Genomic DNA, 19,897 nt, shown 5'->3' on the forward strand with positions numbered 1-19,897 from the left:
ATAGATAGCTCTTATTATTTTGAAATACGTCCCATCAATACCTAATTTATTGAGAGTTTTTAGCATGAAGGGTTGTTGAATTTTGTCAAAGGCCTTTTCTGCATCTATTGAGATAATCATGTGGTTTTTGTCTTTGGCTGTGTTTATATGCTGGATTACATTTATTGATTTGCATATATTGAACCAGCCTTGCATCCCAGGGATGAAGCCCACTTGATCATGGTGGATAAACTTTTTGATGTGCTGCTGGATTCATTTTGCCAGTATTTTATTGAGGATTTTTGCATCAATGTTCATTAAGGATATTGGTCTAAAATTCTCTTTTTTGGTTGTGTCTCTGCCCGGCTTTGGTATCAGAATGATGCTGGCCTCATAAAATGAGTGAGGGAGGATTCCCTCTTTTTCTATTGATTGGAATAGTTTCAGAAGGAATGGTACCAGTTCCTCCTTGTACCTCTGGTAGAATTTGGCTGTGAATCCGTCTGGTCCTGGACTCTTTTTGGTTGGTAAGCTATTGATTATTGCCACAATTTCAGATCCTGTTATTGGTCTATTCAGAGATTCAACTTCTTCCTGGTTTAGTCTTGGGAGAGTGTATGTGTCGAGGAATTTATCCATTTCTTCTAGATTTTCTAGTTTATTTGCGTAGAGGTGTTTGTAGTATTCTCTGATGGTAGTTTGTATTTCTGTGGGATCAGTGGTGACATCCCCTTTATCATTTTTTATTGCGTCTATTTGATTCTTCTCTCTTTTTTTCTTTATTAGTCTTGCTAGCAGTCTATCTCTTTTGTTGATCCTTTCAAAAAACCAGCTCCTGGATTCATTAATTTTTTGAAGGGTTTTTTGTGTCTCTATTTCCTTCAGTTCTGCTCTGATTTTAGTTAGTTCTTGCCTTCTGCTAGCTTTTGAATGTGTTTGCTCTTGCTTTTCTAGTTCTTTTAATTGTGATGTTAGGGTGTCAATTTTGGATCTTTCCTGCTTTCTCTTGTGGGCATTTAGTGCTATAAATTTCCCTCTACACACTGCTTTGAATGCATCCCAGAGATTCTGGTATGTTGTGTCTTTGTTCTCGTTGGTTTCAAAGAACATCTTTATTTCTGCCTTCATTTCATTATGTACCCAGTAGTCATTCAGGAGCAGGTTGTTCAGTTTCCATGTAGTTGAGCGGTTTTGAGTGAGATTCTTAATCCTGAGTTCTAGTTTGATTGCACTGTGGTCTGAGAGATAGTTTGTTATAATTTCTGTTCTTTTGCATTTGCTGAGGAGAACTTTACTTCCAAGTATGTGGTCAATTTTGGAATAGGTGTGGTGTGGTGCTGAAAAAAATGTATATTCTATTGATTTGGGGTGGAGAGTTCTGTAGATGTCTATTAGGTCCACTTGCTGCAGAGCTGAGTTCAATTCCTGGGTATCCTTGTTGACTTTCTGTCTCGTTGATCCGTCTAATGTTCACAGTGGGGTGTTAAAGTCTCCCATTATTAATGTGTGGAAGTCTAAGTCTCTTTGTAGGTCACTCAGGACTTGCTTTATGAATCTAGGTGCTCCTGTGTTGGGTGCATATATATTTAGGATAGTTAGCTCTTCTTGTTGAATTGATCCCTTTACCATTATGTAATGGCCTTCTTTGTCTGTTTTGATCTTTGTTGGTTTAAAGTCTGTTTTATCAGAGACTAGGATTGCAACCCCTGCCTTTTTTTGTTTTCCATTTGCTTGGTAGATCTTCCTCCATCCTTTTATTTTGAGCCTATGTGTGTCTCTGCACGTGAGATGGGTTTCCTGAATACAGCACACTGATGGGTCTTAAATCTTTATCCAGTTTGCCAGTCTGTGTCTTTTAATTGGAGCATTTAGCCCATTTACATTTAAAGTTAATAGTGTTATGTGTGTATTTGATCCTGTCATTTTGATGTTAGCTGGTGATTTTGCTCGTTAGTTGATGCAGTTTCTTCCTAGTCTCGATGGTCTTTACATTTTGGCATGATTTTGCAGCGGCTGGTACCGGTTGTTCCTTTCCATGTTTAGCGCTTCCTTCAGGAGCTCTTTTAGGGCAGGCCTGGTGGTGACAAAATCTCTCAGCATTTGCTTGTCTGTAAAGTATTTTATTTCTCCTTTGCTTATGAAGCTTAGTTTGGCTGGATATGAAATTCTGGGTTGAAAATTCTTTTCTTTAAGAATGTTGAATATTGGCCCCCACTCTCTTCTGGCTTGTAGGGTTTCTGCCGAGAGATCCGCTGTTAGTCTGATGGGCTTCCCTTTGAGGGTAACCCAACCTTTCTCTCTGGCTGCCCTTAACATTTTTTCCTTCATTTCAACTTTGGTGAATCTGACAATTATGTGTCTTGGAGTTGCTCTTCTCGAGGAGTATCTTTGTGGCGTTCTCTGTATTTCCTGAATCTGAACGTTGGCCTGCCTTGCTAGATTGGGGAAATTCTCCTGGATAATATCCTGCAGAGTGTTTTCCAACTTGGTTCCATTCTCCCCATCACTTTCAGGTACACCAATCAGACCTAGATTTGGTCTTTTCACATAGTCCCATATTTCTTGGAGGGTTTGCTCGTTTCTTTTTATTCTTTTTTCTCTAAACTTTCCTTCTCGCTTCATTTCATTCATTTCATCTTCCATTGCTGATACCCTTTCTTCCAGTTGATTGCATCGGCTCCTGAGGCTTCTGCATTCTTCACGTAGTTCTCGAGCCTTGGTTTTCAGCTCCATCAGCTCCTTTAAGCACTTCTCTCTATTGGTTATTCTAGTTATACATTCTTCTAAATTCTTTTCAAAGTTTTCAACTTCTTTGCCTTTGGTTTGAATGTCCTCCCGTAGCTCAGAGTAATTTGATCGTCTGAAGCCTTCTTCTCTCAGCTCGTCAAAGTCATTCTCCATCCAGCTTTGTTCCGTTGCTGGTGAGGAGCTGCGTTCCTTTGTAGGAGGAGAGGCGCTCTGCTTTTTAGAGTTTCCAGTTTTTCTGTTCTGTTTTTTCCCCATCTTTGTGGTTTTATCTACTTTTGGTCTTTGATGATGGTGATGTACAGATGGGTTTTTGGTGTGGATGTCCTTTCTGTTTGTTAGTTTTCCTTCTAACAGACGGGACTCTGAGCTGCAGGTCTGTTGGAGTACCCTGCAGTGTAAGGTGTCAGTGTGCCCCTGTTGGGGGGTGCCTCCCAGTTAGGCTGCTCGGGGGCCAGGGGTCAGGGACCCACTTGAGGAGGCAGTCTGCCCCTTCTCAGATCTCCAGCTGCGTACTGGGAGAACCACTGCTCTCTTCAAAGCTGTCAGACAGGGACATTTAAGTCTGCAGAGGTTATGGCTGTCTTTTTGTTTGTCTGTGCCCTGCCCCCAGAGGTGGAGCCTACAGAGGCAGGCAGGCCTCCTTGAGCTGTGGTGGGCTCCACCCAGTTCGAGTTTCCGGGCTGTTTTGATTACCTCAGCAAGCCTGGGCAATGGCGGGCGCCCCTCCCCTAGCCTCGCTGCCGCCTTGCAGTTTGATCTCAGACTGCTGTGCTAGCAATCAGTGAGACTCCGTGGGCGTAGGACCCTCCGAGCCAGGTGCAGGTTATAATCTCGTGGTGCGCCGTTTTTTAAGCTTGTCGGAAAAGCGCAGTATTCGGGTGGGAGTGACCCGATTTTCCAGGTGCGGTCCTCACCCCTTTCTTTGACTAGGAAAGGGAACTCGCTGACCCCTTGCGCTTCCCGAGTGAGGCAATGCCTCGCCCTGCTTCGGATGGCGCACGGTGCGCGCACCCACTGACCTGAGCCCACTGTCTGGCACTCCCTAGTGAGATGAACCCGGTACCTCAGATGGAAATGCAGAAATCACCGGTCTTCTGCTTCGCTCACGCTGGGAGCAGTAGACCAGAGATGTTCCTATTCGGCCATCTTGGCTCCTCCAGAGCTACTTATTTTTTTATGAAGGAAAAGAATATCATTGAAAGCAGTTTTACCATAAAAAGTATTTTTCACATATTTGCATGTTTAACATCCAGGGCCCTGGAGCCAGACTGTCTGGGGTTTGAAATCAGCTCCTCCACCTACCAGCTATTGACCTCAGGTAAGTTACATTATCTAGGACTCTATTTTCTCATCTGTGAAATGGGAATAATAATAGCAGCCAACTCATTTTTTTTTAGACAATTCAGTGAATTCATACACATAACTCTTTAGAACAGTGTTATATGAATACTGTTATCATTACGATATAACAAATATATCGTATTACTAATTTATCAAAGTAGAGCTATTAGCTACCTTCTCCAGATGGACCTAGAATCTTGTCTATAGCTCTGTTCTTCTACTTCTCACATTGTATTGTACTGTACTTTTTCTGTTTATTTGGTCTTATCTCTCATCACATTCTGAGATTCTCAGAAGGGACAATATGTTAATACTTAGCACAGTGCTGGGAACATCGGATCCACAAATGACAAACCCCTGGCTGTCACTTTCCCCTGTGGCTTCACTCATAACAGATTTGCTAGCTTTTTCCCACTCAGAATCCTCTTCAACACAAAACTCCTGTGAGTCACTGACAACAGATTAGAAAATGACAGTTCAAGATGATATGTCTTTTCCCCTCATGTAATAGATGCTCACTAAATTTTGAATAATACATTGTCTTTTTAATGCTCTTCTTTCAAGATGTGCTGTCTGGTGATCTTATCTTCGGCTTCCTGGAAGAATGTAGGAGTCTAATATTTTCTGCTCTCTTATCTTTCGCCTCTTACTTAAATTGTAACCAACGTTTTGCAGTGGTCCTGCTTTATTTCTCAGATTCATCCATTCATTAAGCATTTCTATCATATACAAGACACGATGGTTTCAAAGCTGAATAAATAGTCTCTTCCTTCAAGAAGGTAAACATGATTATTGTATAAAACTATTCCTTTATGAATACTTTATGTATTTCAGTCTCTCCTGTTGTACTGGTAGCTCTGCATCTCCCTTATGGTAGTGTGGCACTGGACAAACTACTCCATGTCTCTGAATTCAAGCTTCCCTTTATGAATTGGAGATAATAATACCACATAGAGTTGTTGTACAGATTGAGTGGTACATCTTGTGATTTTTACTCATTGATAACAATTATATTTATTTGATTGTTTATAATATATAGTATCTATCTATTAGAATGGAGTCTCTGAGAGCCATTACTATACATATCTTGTTGGCCTTGATATCTTCAGCTAAATCCACTATGCCTGACACATAGTAAACTCAATTATTGTCACTTACTATTGTTAAGCATGATATCACTAGTAATACTAGCAAAGGTAAATCAGGAAACAATCGTAAAGATGAAGCTTGAATTCAAGCCATGTGGATCTGACTCCTTTGGTTTGAGAGGCATTAAAAAAGGATAGTTTATAAACTTGTAAGTATTTTTTATGCCAAACTATTTTTTATCTATCTTGCTTTTGGATGAGTTTTTCTCTATGAAAAATAACTATTTAAACTCCCTAATGATTGATGAAAACAATTCATTTCCAAATGTTTTCTCTTTTTTGATGTACACATACTTAAAACTAGATCTTTGATCACACACACACACATGCACACACACTGTTTGCAGATAAAGAAAAGAATTATTTTCTTTTCGTGGTTACACAATGAAATTGCAATAAAAATTGCAGTTTTGTTCAAAAATTTTTCTTTGAAGGTAGAATTACCTTGATAGAAATACTATATAATGAACTTTCAATAATAGCTTTAGAATATTTATGATTTGAAATTATCTAACAAGAAAAACATACATACAATTAATTACTAACAATTTAAATGTTTCATCTTTTCCAAAGAAATAAAGGCTATTTGCAGGTAGTACAGTGCAGAACTTTGATTTCTGTGGTTTGAAGCAAAAAAAAAAAAAAAAAAAAAAAAAAGTAGCATATTACATGACGAGAAGAAAGAAAATTCAGTATTCACCAACTGCTGCTCTCCCTCCAGCTTTTTACATTTCTGGAAGTATTCAGCTCCCATCAGTCCAATTCCTTAATACTTTCTGTCATGTAAGTCTGGTGAAGCCTACAGACTCCTTTCAGAATAATGTTCTTAAATGCATAAAATAAAGTACATAGTATTACAAAGAAAAACAATTACATACAATTATCAAAATATGTAAAAAACTGTGATATAGTTGTATATGTGTGTCCTTATTAATACATTAAATAAGACTTAGAAGTGGAATAACTAATTTGGGGATGAGAGCCAAGGATACTTTGTAATATCAGCAACAACAGAAATTAAATAGATATGAAAATATCTTTGATTTCTATTAGTGACAAAATCACAGGCGATGCTGATCCTACTATTGTGATGTTGCCTATATTTCTGATTGAAGGAAATCTTAAGTTTTAGTTAGAGGTTGTGAAAATAAAACATCTGTGCCTTACTTGGGTGCCACAGTGATATAAGATGGTGTTAGCTTGGTTTTTGCCACCAAATAAGACATTTTTTTGTAGGCCTGTTCCTTTCCTTCCATTTTCTCTTTCCAGAAAAACATTCTATTTCACTAGAAGTAACAGGATTTTTTTAAATTACATTAATATTCCTCTGGATAGTCTTAGGAAAAATATAACAATGAGTATCTGAACCTTACTGAAAGGAAAGAAAAAAGACCTTAGGAACCTGGTTATATTTATTAATTGGTAGAATCAACTTACCACTTTCAGTTTCATCACCTTGTTTATTTTTGTGTTACATGTTGAAGCCTAAAGAGACCCTTGGAGCCAGAAAAAAAGAGCAAAGTTATCTGATGACAGAGGGAGCATACAAGCAGAAGCTCAAGCTATCACTCAAGAGTTTGAGTGTACTTTGGGCAACAGCTGGGTGTATTTTAATATTTATCAATTTTTATTAAGGATACAGCTTGGCTTTATAAAGACATGGCCATGTTTTAAGTTGACTCATCTAAGTTTCCTATTCTCAGTGTTTTAGAAATGTCAGTTGTTCAAAATAATACTACCCTAGCATTTAAAAACTAGTGTATAGAAATTTACAGTTTTCTGTAGAATGAAAAACTTATTCTTTAGAATAAAAATTACATTAAATTGATTTTTTGAATAGTGTTCTTTATAAAACATTTTCTTTTTTGCTAATGAAACCTGTTCACCCTAGGTCATGAATAGACCTTGTAGTACAAGAAGTAATGATACTTAGATTCAATTCTATTTCAATTTAACACATATTTATAAGCATTCACTGCTGACAGACACTACTGTAGGTACGTAGGAGAATATAGAAAGGAATAAGAAACCATATATTCCCTGACAGTTTCAAAAAAGTCAGAAAAAAGGAGAAAGAGATCCCAAAAATGACTATGAGGAAAAAAGTAAAATAATAATAGTAGTCATTATTGGGTGTGAAGTGCTCTTCATTCATTATTGCTCATTCTGCAAGGTAGCCGGGTCACTTAGCATGCTTTCAGCTGCAAATAACAGAAAACGTCAACTCAAACAGGCTCAAAAAATAAAGTAATTTATGACTCATATATCCATTTTAAAGGTAGAATGGCTCGAGGATTGATTAAATCAATGGCACAACACCACTTTTAAGAATCCAGATTTTTTTCCATGTCATTTTAGGTTAGATGTGTGGCTTTTTGCTCAGTCTGGCTTCTCTTATAAGATGGTTTCCCAAGTTTCAAGCATCACGTAGCAATTTGATGGTATCCAAAATAGGAGACTATCTTTTTTTGTGAACCATCTTAAAGGAGCCAATGATCCAAAAACAAAGCAAAGTAAAACAACCAACTCACCTCTCCTGAAGCAAACAAAAACCCCAAAAACCTTTACTAGAAGCCCCTAGCAGATGGGTTCTCATGTCTCATTGTCCAAAATTATTTGTTGCCTAAAATAATCAATGATCTGTTGCCTAAAATTATCATTGGCAAGGGCAGTGGGACCATTATTGGGTTAAACCAGTCAGAATTCTTCCAACTTCTGAGATGGGTGATGGAGTCACCCTGGAAATGCATGACTGCCCTGAGATGTGTGGATTCCTGAACAAAATTGAGATTGCTTAAGAAGAATGGAAGAATGGAGGATGGGGAAGCAACCAAAGTAGCCATTATGATTTTTTATTTATAGCTTTGGAAACTGAGTTTCAGTAATGTTAAGCAATTGACCAAGATTAACATCTAGTGAGTCCAGATTTCAAATATAGGTATGTGTGATTCCAAAAACTCAACCCTTTGACTGAATTATTCCCAAAGGCTTACATACCATAATGAAAGCCCAGACATGGTGGCTTATTACTGTAATCCTAGCACTTTGGGAGGCCGAGTGAGATAATCACTTGAGGCCAGGAGTTCGAGACTGGCCTGGGAAACATAGTGAGATCCCGTCTCTACAAAAAAGTTAAAAATGAGCCAGGCTTGGTGGTGCGCACCTGTAGTCCTATTCCTAAGTACTTGGGAGACTTGAGCCCAAGAGGTTGAGCCTGCAGTGAGCTGTGATTGTGTCATTGCCCTCCAGCTTGAGTGACAGTGTGAGACCCTATCTCAAAAATAAATAAACAAATAAATATACAAATACTACAATGCAAATATTTTAAAGTGCTGTATCTTTTGATCTGTGATATCTTTTGATTCATGTTGAATGTGTTAGGCAAAGATGTTGCATTTTGGTGTAATTATAATACCTTATTTTTTATGAAGCTGAATGTGGTTTAATAGAAATGTGCCTCCCACTTGATCTTTGCCTTGTTTCCCATACTTGCTCATTATATTCCTTCATGAAAACAATAAAGCTAAATTATGTGTAGAAATAGAACCAATCCTGACTTGCAAACCTTACTGCTTTTTGTACATGTATTTAAAACTGTGGCTAACATGCATTAACTTGTGAAAGACATCACCAGGATTCTGAATCTGTTTTATGTCTTAGAATTCATTCAATGCAGCAGCAGTTTTAGTGGTAGGGAAAGGGTGAAAGCCTTTTTTATCAGTACATTTTCTTTACTTTGTAATAAGACAAACATAAAACGAATGAGTCTTTTACCCATATCACTAACCATAGACATCCTTTTTCCATGAGCCCCCAAATAAGTTGTAGTTTGAAACATGAGATGCAGTGACATTTAATTTAAATCCTATGTTTTGTTTCCCTTTCCAAATCAGTTTATTGTCTTACTAAGTAAGAGACTGAAACAGACTCTTAACATGATACTTTCTTACTGTTAACTATGGGTTCCAGAGCCTACCAGAAAATGGACCTAATTTTAGATAACCAAAATTCAAGAAACACTGAGCCCCAGTTTATAGAACCCATCACCTCTCACACCGTGACATTGGTTAACATAATTTTCCAAATAAGATAATTTAAAAAAAATCATTTGGTTACTTAATTCACATCAGTTGGAATCTACCCTACATTTCTCTCTGTGTTTCCAGTGGAATAAAAGGCATGATCATTTACCCAGTTGCTTGGACCTTGTCCTTGATGTTTTCTTTTCTTCCATTCCCACAGCCAATTACCAGCAAGTCTTGACAATTCTAACTTTCAACAAGTTCTTAAAACTTCTTTTCTTCATTCACAGTGTCATTCCTTTAACTCCTGCTTGGGCTACTATAAGCCCGACTATCAGCTTTCTTCCAATCTGCTTTTTCTACTCTTCAGCCCACACTGTAGCTGGAGTGGTTTTTTTAAAAGGCATATGTAATAATGGCCTCTCTGTGCTTAGTGCCATTTAATGTTTCCCATTGCCCTTAGAGTAAACTTTCATATGGCTAATAAATCCAGTGTGATCTGCCTCTCTGGTCTAGTTTATTGTCAATATCTGATCTAATATCCCCATGCTCCCCAACCGCCTCCCCCACCACACATACGCACATACTATGGCTTAACCAAGGTGTGCTGATTGATGAATTAAGGAATATATTATTCCTTATCAAAATGTTCTTTTGAAATGATAGACACCTATTTCTCTCTGAACCTTGCTTACTTAAAAAAATATTTTTATGCACAGTACACTGCTTGTCAAATTTACTATTGGATGATTTAAATAAGTGTATGAATTATTTTGCCTAGCTCTTGGTAATTAGTTATTGTAAAATGAGTCCTTACAAAAATAAAGCAAAAGAATCAAAGAGCCTATCTGTTTACTTAAATAAGCTGGGGAAAGTTCAGATAGATAGAGATTGTGAGATGCTTGCTCTAGACCACAAAAAGAACTGGATATCTTGGTGGAGATTAAGAGTTTAGATATTTGAGCCACTCAAAGGTTGTAATTAGACTATACTTCTGCTTAACCCTCACGTTGTTTATTTAGTTTCTCTGGTTACTAATGACAAATTTATATAATCTCTGTAGTTTCAATTGGTTAGACAGAAATATGAAGGCTTATTATTGCATATGTCTGGGTACCCTGTGGAGCAATATGTATATTTGTGTTATCGGAATTCTTTGAAATGAAATGCATTAAATTCTTCCTTCAAGGATGGAAAAATATTTGACTTAGTTTCCTCCCTTATGTAAAACGAGGAGTTAAAATATTTTCTTCCTTAAGCATTTGTTTATTATTATTTTTTTCCTTTTGTGGGGTATGTGTTAAGAAGTCAGGTAATTTGTAAAGTGTCATTTGATTACCTAAAGAAAAAGCTTAAACTAAAAAGTGTTATTATCATAAACTCACAGGCTTCTGACCACAGAAGTACAATTGAATTTAATTCATGATTGAAAAGTACAGTTGATGCATAATGGCTATCTGAAAAATGTTATGTTTGTTTATGGTTTAAAGCTTTTAGAGAGTGGTCTCTTACTCTTTGCTAATTCCTGCTACTTAAATAATCAGGGGAGAAATTTTTAAAAATTCTAAATATAACAAGGAAAATCAGGGTCACATCTAAGATTGACAATCGGGTGCTATTTGCTGAATATGAAAAAACAGGGCTGTGTATAATATAATTTTATTGTTGGAGAGATGGTTTGACCAGATAAGGATATTTGAAAATTAAAGTTAGATTTGGCATCTAAATATCCTTAGGTTTGCAGGTTTTTGATCTGTTTATTAGCCATGCAAAAATATATTGCTGTTTCTTAATCTGATCATAGTTGATTCTGCCACTGGAGTTATTTTTTCCCCACACTTTGATGTGATATGTTTTATTTTCAAGTGCTTGTTTCACAAAGATAAGCAAACAAAATAAGATTTCCACTTCTCTCCTCCACCAGCCATGTTTTTGTTTAGTTAGCCAACATCAACGGGAAGATATTAAAATGATTAATCCTTATAATTTGTTTGTGTCTTAAATTACTGGATATTATGGGAGCTGAACTCCAACTTTTATCTCATAAATATGAATGAAGCAATATTACTAAGTTGTAATTCATTTTGAACTATTTAATCACTGTGATCTACAGATAAGTTGGCTTCTGAATCTTCATCTAATTTCATAACTAAGTCCTCTTTCTCGTTAAAATCACCATGACTGTGCTGAAGCTCGTGTTTAGGGAATCCAACTGAATGAGTAATAGGTTTAAAAATACCCCAGCTATATTGACTTGCCCAAACTTTTCCAGTCTTCTTTAATTTTATTTGTTGTAATGAGTGCAGATGAGGGGCTCTTGGTTAGCCATCTTCAAGTAGATTTCAAAGCAGAGTCTATGATAGAAGATGTACTGGATTTAGGATCAGAATACCTGGCTTGGGACCTGGTCCTGTTGTTTACTACCTGGGTGACTTTGGACCAAATTATTTAAACTTTTCTGACCTTTATTTTCCTCATTTGTAAAAAAGCACGGTAATACTTCTGCACATATATTTTATGCAACTAAGCTGAGGCATTGATGTGCAATAGATTGTAAAGTGCCATCCAAAGGTGAAAAGTAAGGTGTGAGGATCTCACGTGGTGCTTTGGGTTAGCCAGATTATAAGGAGATACCAAAACATATCATAATGAATTCCTTTGAGATTTAAAAGCAGAAAATGTGAAGCAGCCTGAATATCCAAACATAGGTAATTGGTTACATATATTTTGTTACTTCATAGAATACTATATGTAGAGCCATTGAAATTATGCAGTAAATCTATGTTTATTGCCCTAGAAAGGTGTTCACATTTATTCGTGAATCATCAAAACATGCTATTAAAATATTGCATAATCATATTTTATTAAAATTATAAATTTGTGCGTTATTTGTATACACACACAAATATAAAGCATATAAGATGTACAGTGGCTATCTATGCATGTGGGAATTGAGAATAATTTTTTTCCATTTTCATATTCTAATTTTTCTAAAAAATAGATAACTTACGTAAAGCCACACAAAAGCACATACCCCTAGAGACATATTAAAAATTCCCATTGAATCCAGAAATCTCTGTAATCTCTGACAACTCCTGTCTCTCTGATCCCTTAATATCCAGTCCATGGCCAAGGCTCGTTGGAGTCAGCGTTCTCTTGGGTGCCAGCCCTTTGTTTTCATTGCCCTGAAAACCAATATCTCAAATTCGGAATTCATGCCTTCTCATTTGTGGATGCAACAAGCTTCTAACTAGTCACTCTGGTTTCAGTCTCTACCCTTCTAGTCCATCTTCGTAATATCCTCAACTCACAAATCTTTTCTAAAGCACAGAGCTGATTCTGTTATCTTTAGGTCCTCTCTACCTTCCTGAAGCCAACCTCACATATATTTTATGGCTTCCCTTTGTTTAATAACATTCAGTTTACACTCTTCAACCTAACGTTAAAAGTCCTTCATAATATAGCTAAGATTTATTTCACACTCCCACACACGCCCTTTCTCCAGTCAAACGTAGCTATCGTTCTCTGAAAAGAACATACCCCAGACTTTTCTGCCTCCATACCTTGGGCCATCATATTCCATCAGTTTGTATTGTTACTGCCTATTGAAACACTACCCATGATTTATAGCCCAGCCAAATTCCCCATTTTTCAGAATTCTAGATGTGCTGCTTCCTACCTCTGAATCGCATATCTTCTTTGAAATTTATCCTTCCATTTATTCATGTCATTTTTTAGCATCTGCTTTACTTCAGGGGCTATTGTACCTCAAATATAGAGGTAAACAAGCCAGAAACGCCCTTGCCCTTGAGTAAACAACAATCTAATACTTAACATTTCTCCTTTATTTAAATCTATTGATTTATAGATAAACTTTCCTTACCTACCACCTTCTCTTACAACATTATACAGACGTTTATTATAGGCACATCGAGTATTATTTGTGTTTGATTCTCTCATTTAAACTACCACGTTATCTTACAAATTGAAGATATCCAATAAAAATATAGTTAGAAGGGCATAGAGACAGATAGAGTTAGATATGTGTATTTTTCCAGCAATGTAGTTATATACATACATATATATTATATATATATTAGCCTTTAACCATGTTACTTTTCCCTGTTGAGTGTTTTCAAAAATTATATTTGATTCCTAATTAGTATTATTGTTTCATCTCTAAAATAAAAAGAACTAGTTATTTCTCCCAGTTGTATCTAGGGGAATCCAAGATGAGACTGATATTTGTTAAGTAAAACTGAAGCAAAAAGTACATTCTTCTGTCATAGAACAAGTAATGTTACAAAACCCATACTTGGCTATTTGACCTAGAGTTCAGTGGCCAGTGAGTTGCTTTTTAATTAACGGATGTCAGCCTACAGAATGTAGAGGTTTAAAGCTATACCAAATTTGGACACTCCAAGGTATTCATGTCCTATAAACACAGTATGTCTCCAAGTTATGTTGCTGTTTTTAAAAAAAAGTCAAGAAAGCCGTTAGTGCAATTTTCTCCTCTTCTTTTGTTCCTAAATAAATGATTCATTTAGTAATTTCCCTTGGAAAAGTGAACTCCTTATTATCCATTAAGTACCTCCGCTCTTTATGTTATAGTTTTTCCTCATTTAAAAAAGACGATGTTAGCTATTTTCTTTTAAGAAAAGAGGCTGGGTGATAAAGATTATTTACACAAAAGTTCTTTTCTTCTGAGACACAGCTGTAAAAAATTTAAGTTAATATTTTAAAATTAATTCTGTTGTTTCAAGTGACTCTTTAGCATAGTTGTTTTAGCCCAAACCTACTGAGTCCATTAAAAACAAAACAAAAACACTTTTTAAATTTTAAGGTAAATCTGCATGTAAGGAATTGGGTATGTTCATATGGTTTCGTGTATGAGAGATTTCATACTGCAAAATTCCACCCACATTGTTTTTGCATGTTCTATTATATTTCAAATACAGCTAAAGAGCTTGTGCTTATCTGAATCCTATGGTAAACAGGATGTGTTGCTGATATTTTATTTTCCCAACTGAATTATAAGTTTCTTTATTGGGCATGGGAATCTCTGTGTATTCCTTGTGTAAGTATGTGTCTTGCAGGAAATGAAAACATTTGTTGATTTCATTTACTTAATTATATATTATTTTGTAAAACGAATGCTTCTTTTACAGTAGGAATGGTTTGTTTTATCAATCTGCGTTTGCACATATTGGTCTAACAAATTAGTTTTAAGACAAACGTGAAGTGTGGAATCTTAATTTGTGGCCTGAATATAGATTTTTGATACATTCTTAATTCTCAAGAAGATTTATTTATATAAACTTTTCATATTTTATGGAATTTATATTCAAGATATTGAACATAAATATTAGCAGATATATTTTGGTAACTCTACAGGAAGTTTAATTTTCTATCTATAATGCTGAATTTTCTAAATACAAAAAATGAAATATATTTGATACGTGAAAGAGGAGTTAAAATGCAGATTTTCTTCTGTTGTCTGTTGTTTGAGATTAGAAATCATGAAGCACTTTTCTTTACTTTCTGCAGGGTAGCTATTTCATTTCAGATCCATATTGGTGTGGAAATTTAGCTCAAGAAGAAGAATTGCCTGATGTCTTATTTAATACTATACTTCTATGAGTTGTCCTCTCTACTTTTTCTTGAAGTTATACGCTGGCAAAACTACTGTCATTGCCCTTGCTTTTCATCTTTGCTGCACATTTACTTCTCGACAGGCTTAAATAATGGCTAAAATGGTTGAAATGATTTATGCCTGTAGAGTGATGTCTTCATTTGCTCTGTTCACATTCCTTTTTTTATCTTTTATTTTTTTTTACTAATGGTCTGGTGAACACCTAGTGTAGGTGCATTTTATTAGCGAGTATATTCCTCTAAATGCAGTTCCTAAGCTGAAAGAAATGGGCCATAATCTTATAAAAGTAAAGTATCTCTTTGTAGAATTTACTAGAAATGGAATGTCCTTATTCCTGAGGCATAAAACATAAGAGACTTTTTTTTCCTCTCACTATAAGACTGCTCTTTATACTAATGTTGATTAAGTGTATCACATCAACAGCTGTTGTGACTTGTAGGAAAATGAATGATTCTACTGAAAATCTCTATTAAAAGGTGTAACTTTCTTGAAATTTCTAGTTATCTACAATTGTCTTCTTCCTATTGGGACTGGAGGATTGGTTCCTGGTCTCTACAGATTGCTTCACTGTTACTTCATAAAACTGCAATTAATAATGGTGAGCTAAGATCATTCTGGATTTGATGTACTGCCTTATCATCATTGAACGAGAGTCTCTAAATGTGCTATTTAACAACTTATCGGGACTTTGCACTGATTAATTCATCTGGTCATAGTCTGAAGCCTGACATGGCATCTTGTAGGCCTTTCATTCCGTTGGGATCAATCTCATCATTTTATATGAAATGAACTTAGTACTTCATAGGCTTAGTTGGAAAGAAATTTTAACCATCAGCAGTAGGATGTGACACTGGAATTTAATTTGTTGGCCTATGAGAACACAGAAGATCTCATCTTTTGCTGAACTTTCTAAATATAAATTAAAGTTATCAGAGAATCAAAATGATTTTGACATTTGAACTTCAGTAGAAGGCCAATACATTTAAAGTAAGTATTCTCCTTCCTGAAACATTCAGTGCTTCATCAACAGCACATATCACGTAAGAAAATATTATTCCTTGTGGAGAAGAGCATGGGTCATTGCTACTGGCTCTTAGAGTAGACATTATGTTGGGGCCACACAGCATCTATTCTCCCTTTATTCTGATGCTCGAACCCTGAATTCCCTCTGAAGAAGCATCTACCTCTCATTGTGTGTAGCATTATGGTGCTGGCAGTCAAGTTTTCTTGGCTTGCTAACCCAGGAGTCAGACTCATGGCCAAAGTTATTGAGCTTTCTTCCTTGGGACTTGGACTCTTAAGGAGGAGAATAGGAGGAAAAAAAATTATGCGGAGCTAATTAATTCCAGAAGTGGCGATCTGAATGTATTATATCTTGCTCTTAGGCTCACCAGAACTAGATTAGTTCCTGATTCTCCTGAACCTAGATTTCCCTTCTAGATTGTGAGCTACTCTTGCATTTTCCAATAAATTACCTTTTTCATTAATGTAGCCAGAATCAGTATATGTTATTTTCCTCTCAAAAACCGATAAAGCTCCCTTTTAATATTGCTGAATTTTGAAAGTAATGTGCCACTCTTTGATAGTTCTTTATTTTATTTTATTTTTCTGAGGTGGAGTCTTACTCTGTTGCCCAGGCTGAAGTGCAGTGGTGTGATCCTGGCTCACTGCAACCTCCGCCTCCTGGGTTCCAGAGATTCTCTTGCCTCAGCTTCCTGAGTAGCTGGAATTACAGGCATGTGCCACCATGCCTGTGTAATTTTTTGTATTTTTAGTAGAGATGGAGTTTGACCATGTTGGCCAGGTTGGTCTAAAACTCCTGACCTCAAGTGATCCATCCTCCTCAGCTTCTCAAGGTGCTGGAATTACAGGCATGAGCCATCATGCCCAGCCTGATAGTTCTTTAGAGAATAAAATGTAGTAGGATAGAGTTTACTACAATATAAACTATATCTTTAGTAGGCATTCCCAGGGTTAGGAGTTTATTGCAATCCCAAATGTCAACCAGGGTCTATGAAAGGCTCTAGGGCCTGCTTCCAGCCAAGCTCTCTACACTCATGGAATCCCAGCCTTCTCTTGGGTGAAGATGTCCCAGTCACTCCTGTTTTCTTTCACTTCTTGGAGCATGACACGTTCTTTCCTGCCCCAGTGCCTGTATACTTGCCATTCCTTCTACCAGAAATTTTATTTAATTTCCATTTCTCTCCCCATCAACAGATGCCATCTCATCCTTCAGATCTAAGCAAAATCTCAAGACTTCTCTTGTCCACATTTCTCAAAATAGAATAACTCATCTCATATATTCTATTGCCCAGTTGACAGTTTCCATGGGGATACCTCAGAGGCATTTCACAAGTAACCTGCTCTACCCAGATCTTTGGCTCCTCCCTTTTCTAGCCAATTTCTCTCTCTCACTTCACCATTCATCATTACCATTTCACAATTTCTAAAGCCGGGGGTCAGCCTTTGATTCCTTTCTTTGTATCACCCCACACTAAGGCACAAGCCAGTCCTGTTGGTTCTAACTTTGCATAGACCTAAAATTCAATTATTTCTATTTCATCTTCAAAGTTGTATCCTATCCCAGTTACCATCTTTTGCATGGCCAACAGCAATACTCTCCTACTTTATTTCTGTTTCTTCTCTTTACCTCATGCAATATAAATGACTGCATATGTTACCCTGTTTAGAATCTCCCGTGGCTTCTAATTCCAAATAGGCGAAAAAAATATCCAGATTCCCAACTGACCAACAAGGTTCTGCATTATTTCCAATTTAAGCACCTTCTTTTCCTTCTTTCCCCTTTTTCGTCATTCCCTTTTCCTTTCCCTTCCTTCCTTTCTATCCAGCTACTCTGAGCTGTACTATCTTTGCACAGGCTGTTCTCTCCAATGGAATGCTTTTCCCAGATTTTTGCAGCACTGGCTCATTCTTCTTATTTAAGTCTCAGCTCAAATAACTTTCCCACAGAGAGAACTTCCTTGACCACTGATTCTAAAGGATAGTCCTCATGCCAATCTCTATCACAACATCTTGTTTCAAAGCTTCGAAACAATTACCCTTGTGAAATTATCTACTTCATGGTCTTGTTTTACTCATTTATATGACTTACAAGGGCATATTTTCACATCTTTTTTTTTCCGTCGGCTATGCTTAAAAACAAAACTACTTTCTGTTTGGCTGTTACCTTTTCTTCACCCCTATTTTTGTTATTAGGTAACGCACTTTCATGAGTTAATGAAAACTACAGAAATAAGAGCTAATAATTCCATTACCTGTGTTTACATAGTAAAAAGAGTCTCAAGATATGCTATTTGGGAAGTTAACAATTTAAAATAAGCATTAGTGTGGCTTAATATTTAAATGAGATACAAAAAATATCCCGTTTAGAAATGAGAATTATCTGAGTGAGAGAATTAGATTGGATTAATATTTAGTTATTATAATAAAGCACTTAAGTACATGAGTTCCTTGAGGGCAGGACATTTTCATTTTTTGGCATCTTTGTTTCTTTGTCTCACATGTTTTCTCTGCGTTCAAGAGGAGCCACATCAAATGGTTGCTGAGTTGAACAAAATGCATATTTCAGAATTCTATTAATGTTCATGATCCAAAATTATTTTTTGAGGAAATGAAGTAAGTTGTCTTCACTTAGAATTAAAGAAGGAAAGTCCAGTGAATTTATGAATGTCAATAAATGTGGGAAAGATTCTCAGTTTCTTCGTCTTATTTGAACACAAACATGAAAGTTTAGGAATGAGATGAGATTTTTCTATTATGCATTTGAGATTTTGCATTATATTGAAAAGGGAATTTTTGGAACCTGGATTTTTTTGGACCTCTAGGCTCTTTTCTAGTATTTTGGATTATTAGTCTCTAATATGTGTTAATTCTGATAACCATGATAACCAGTGTATTCAAGGTGCCAAAACACTGATGATGTAACTTTTCTATGTCAACACTAAATAAGTTTAGAGGCATTTCCTCCAAAATTCACCTAAATAATGGAGTTTATTTATTTATTTATTTATTGAGATGGAGTCTTGCTCTCTTACTCAGGCTGGAGTGCAATGGCGTGGTCTCAGCTCACTGCAACCTCCGCCTCCTAGTTTCAAGTGATTCTCCTGCCTCAGACTCCCGAGTAGCTGGGATTACAGGCACTCGCCACCACACGTGGCTAGCCCGGCTAATTTCTATATTTTTAGTAAAGACGGGGTTTCACCATGTTGGCCAGGCTGGTCTCAAACTCCTGACCTCATGATCTACCCGCCTCGGCCTCCCAAAGTGCTGGGATTATAGGCATGAGCTACCTCACCCGGCCAATAATCGTTTTTATATCATCAAAGATTGAAGTCGTCATGTGACTGCTTACAGAAAAGAAGCTATACTTAATTCAAAATAACTACAGAACTCTCATCTTTCACACTCTTTCCTTCCTGGCATGGATGGAAGGAGAGAATAAAGCTTGTTTATTGCCCATTCCCCACCCCCTATTTTTTTTATCATTTTTTTTCTCTCTCATGAATTTTCCCATTTGGGTACAACACAATTTAACAGTCATTGGACAGCACCAACATCTGGTTAGAAGATTGCAAAACTACTGCTTTGGTGCATTAAAGGTACACTTGGAACTTGGAATGATTTGTTTTTCCCCTATTGGTGACAATTGTGAATAAAATGTCCCACTAAAACAATTATAGGTAGCTAGTTTTCTGAAGGACAAAAAACTTATTTCAATACTCTTAGCTTCACATTTTTTAGGTCATATGATTGGTGTCTTGACTTTGCTCATATGTATAAATATGTATGTATATGCATATATATGTACATATATACACATTGACTTTGACTTTGCTCATACAAATAAATATGTATATGTATGTGTGTATATATTTATATATATAGAGAGAGAGACAAATAGAGAGATAGAGAGAAAATCTGTGCCAATGCAGCAATGTTTATGGAAAACCAGTTTTCAGAAAATTATATTAGGTTTCATTTAGAGA

At 36.3% G+C, this 19,897-nt stretch overlaps 1 protein-coding gene and 1 long non-coding RNA gene across 5 annotated transcripts in view, besides 1 other annotated feature; one reads left to right on the top strand and one right to left on the bottom strand.

The window, feature by feature from the left end:
• The window catches only part of SAMMSON (survival associated mitochondrial melanoma specific oncogenic non-coding RNA), a 435,002-nt gene that overhangs the window by 287,611 nt on the left and 127,494 nt on the right, over positions 1-19,897 (top strand). Inside the window, exon 7 of one of the 3 annotated variants that reach the window (NR_186030.1) lies at positions 3,981-4,045. The exons of the other annotated variants lie outside the window; for them this stretch is intronic. This is a non-coding gene — a long non-coding RNA (survival associated mitochondrial melanoma specific oncogenic non-coding RNA). The remainder of the gene's footprint in view (positions 1-3,980; positions 4,046-19,897) is intronic. 3 annotated transcript variants of the gene reach the window in all.
• Positions 1-19,897, bottom strand: part of MDFIC2 (MyoD family inhibitor domain containing 2) — a 118,160-nt gene that overhangs the window by 92,720 nt on the left and 5,543 nt on the right. The gene's annotated exons all lie outside the window — the stretch shown is intronic.
• Positions 3,518-4,017: an enhancer, noted in NCBI's record as "H3K4me1 hESC enhancer chr3:70339867-70340366 (GRCh37/hg19 assembly coordinates)". NCBI's record gives its function as "activates a minimal SCP1, AML or CMV promoter by ChIP-STARR-seq in naive H9 embryonic stem cells {active_cell/tissue: H9 hESC(naive)}" and the evidence as "EXISTENCE:reporter gene assay evidence [ECO:0000049][PMID:30033119]".

Source organism: Homo sapiens, chromosome 3 (assembly GCF_000001405.40).
Source record: "Homo sapiens chromosome 3, GRCh38.p14 Primary Assembly".
In the NCBI taxonomy this organism is placed as follows: domain Eukaryota; kingdom Metazoa; phylum Chordata; class Mammalia; order Primates; family Hominidae; genus Homo; species Homo sapiens.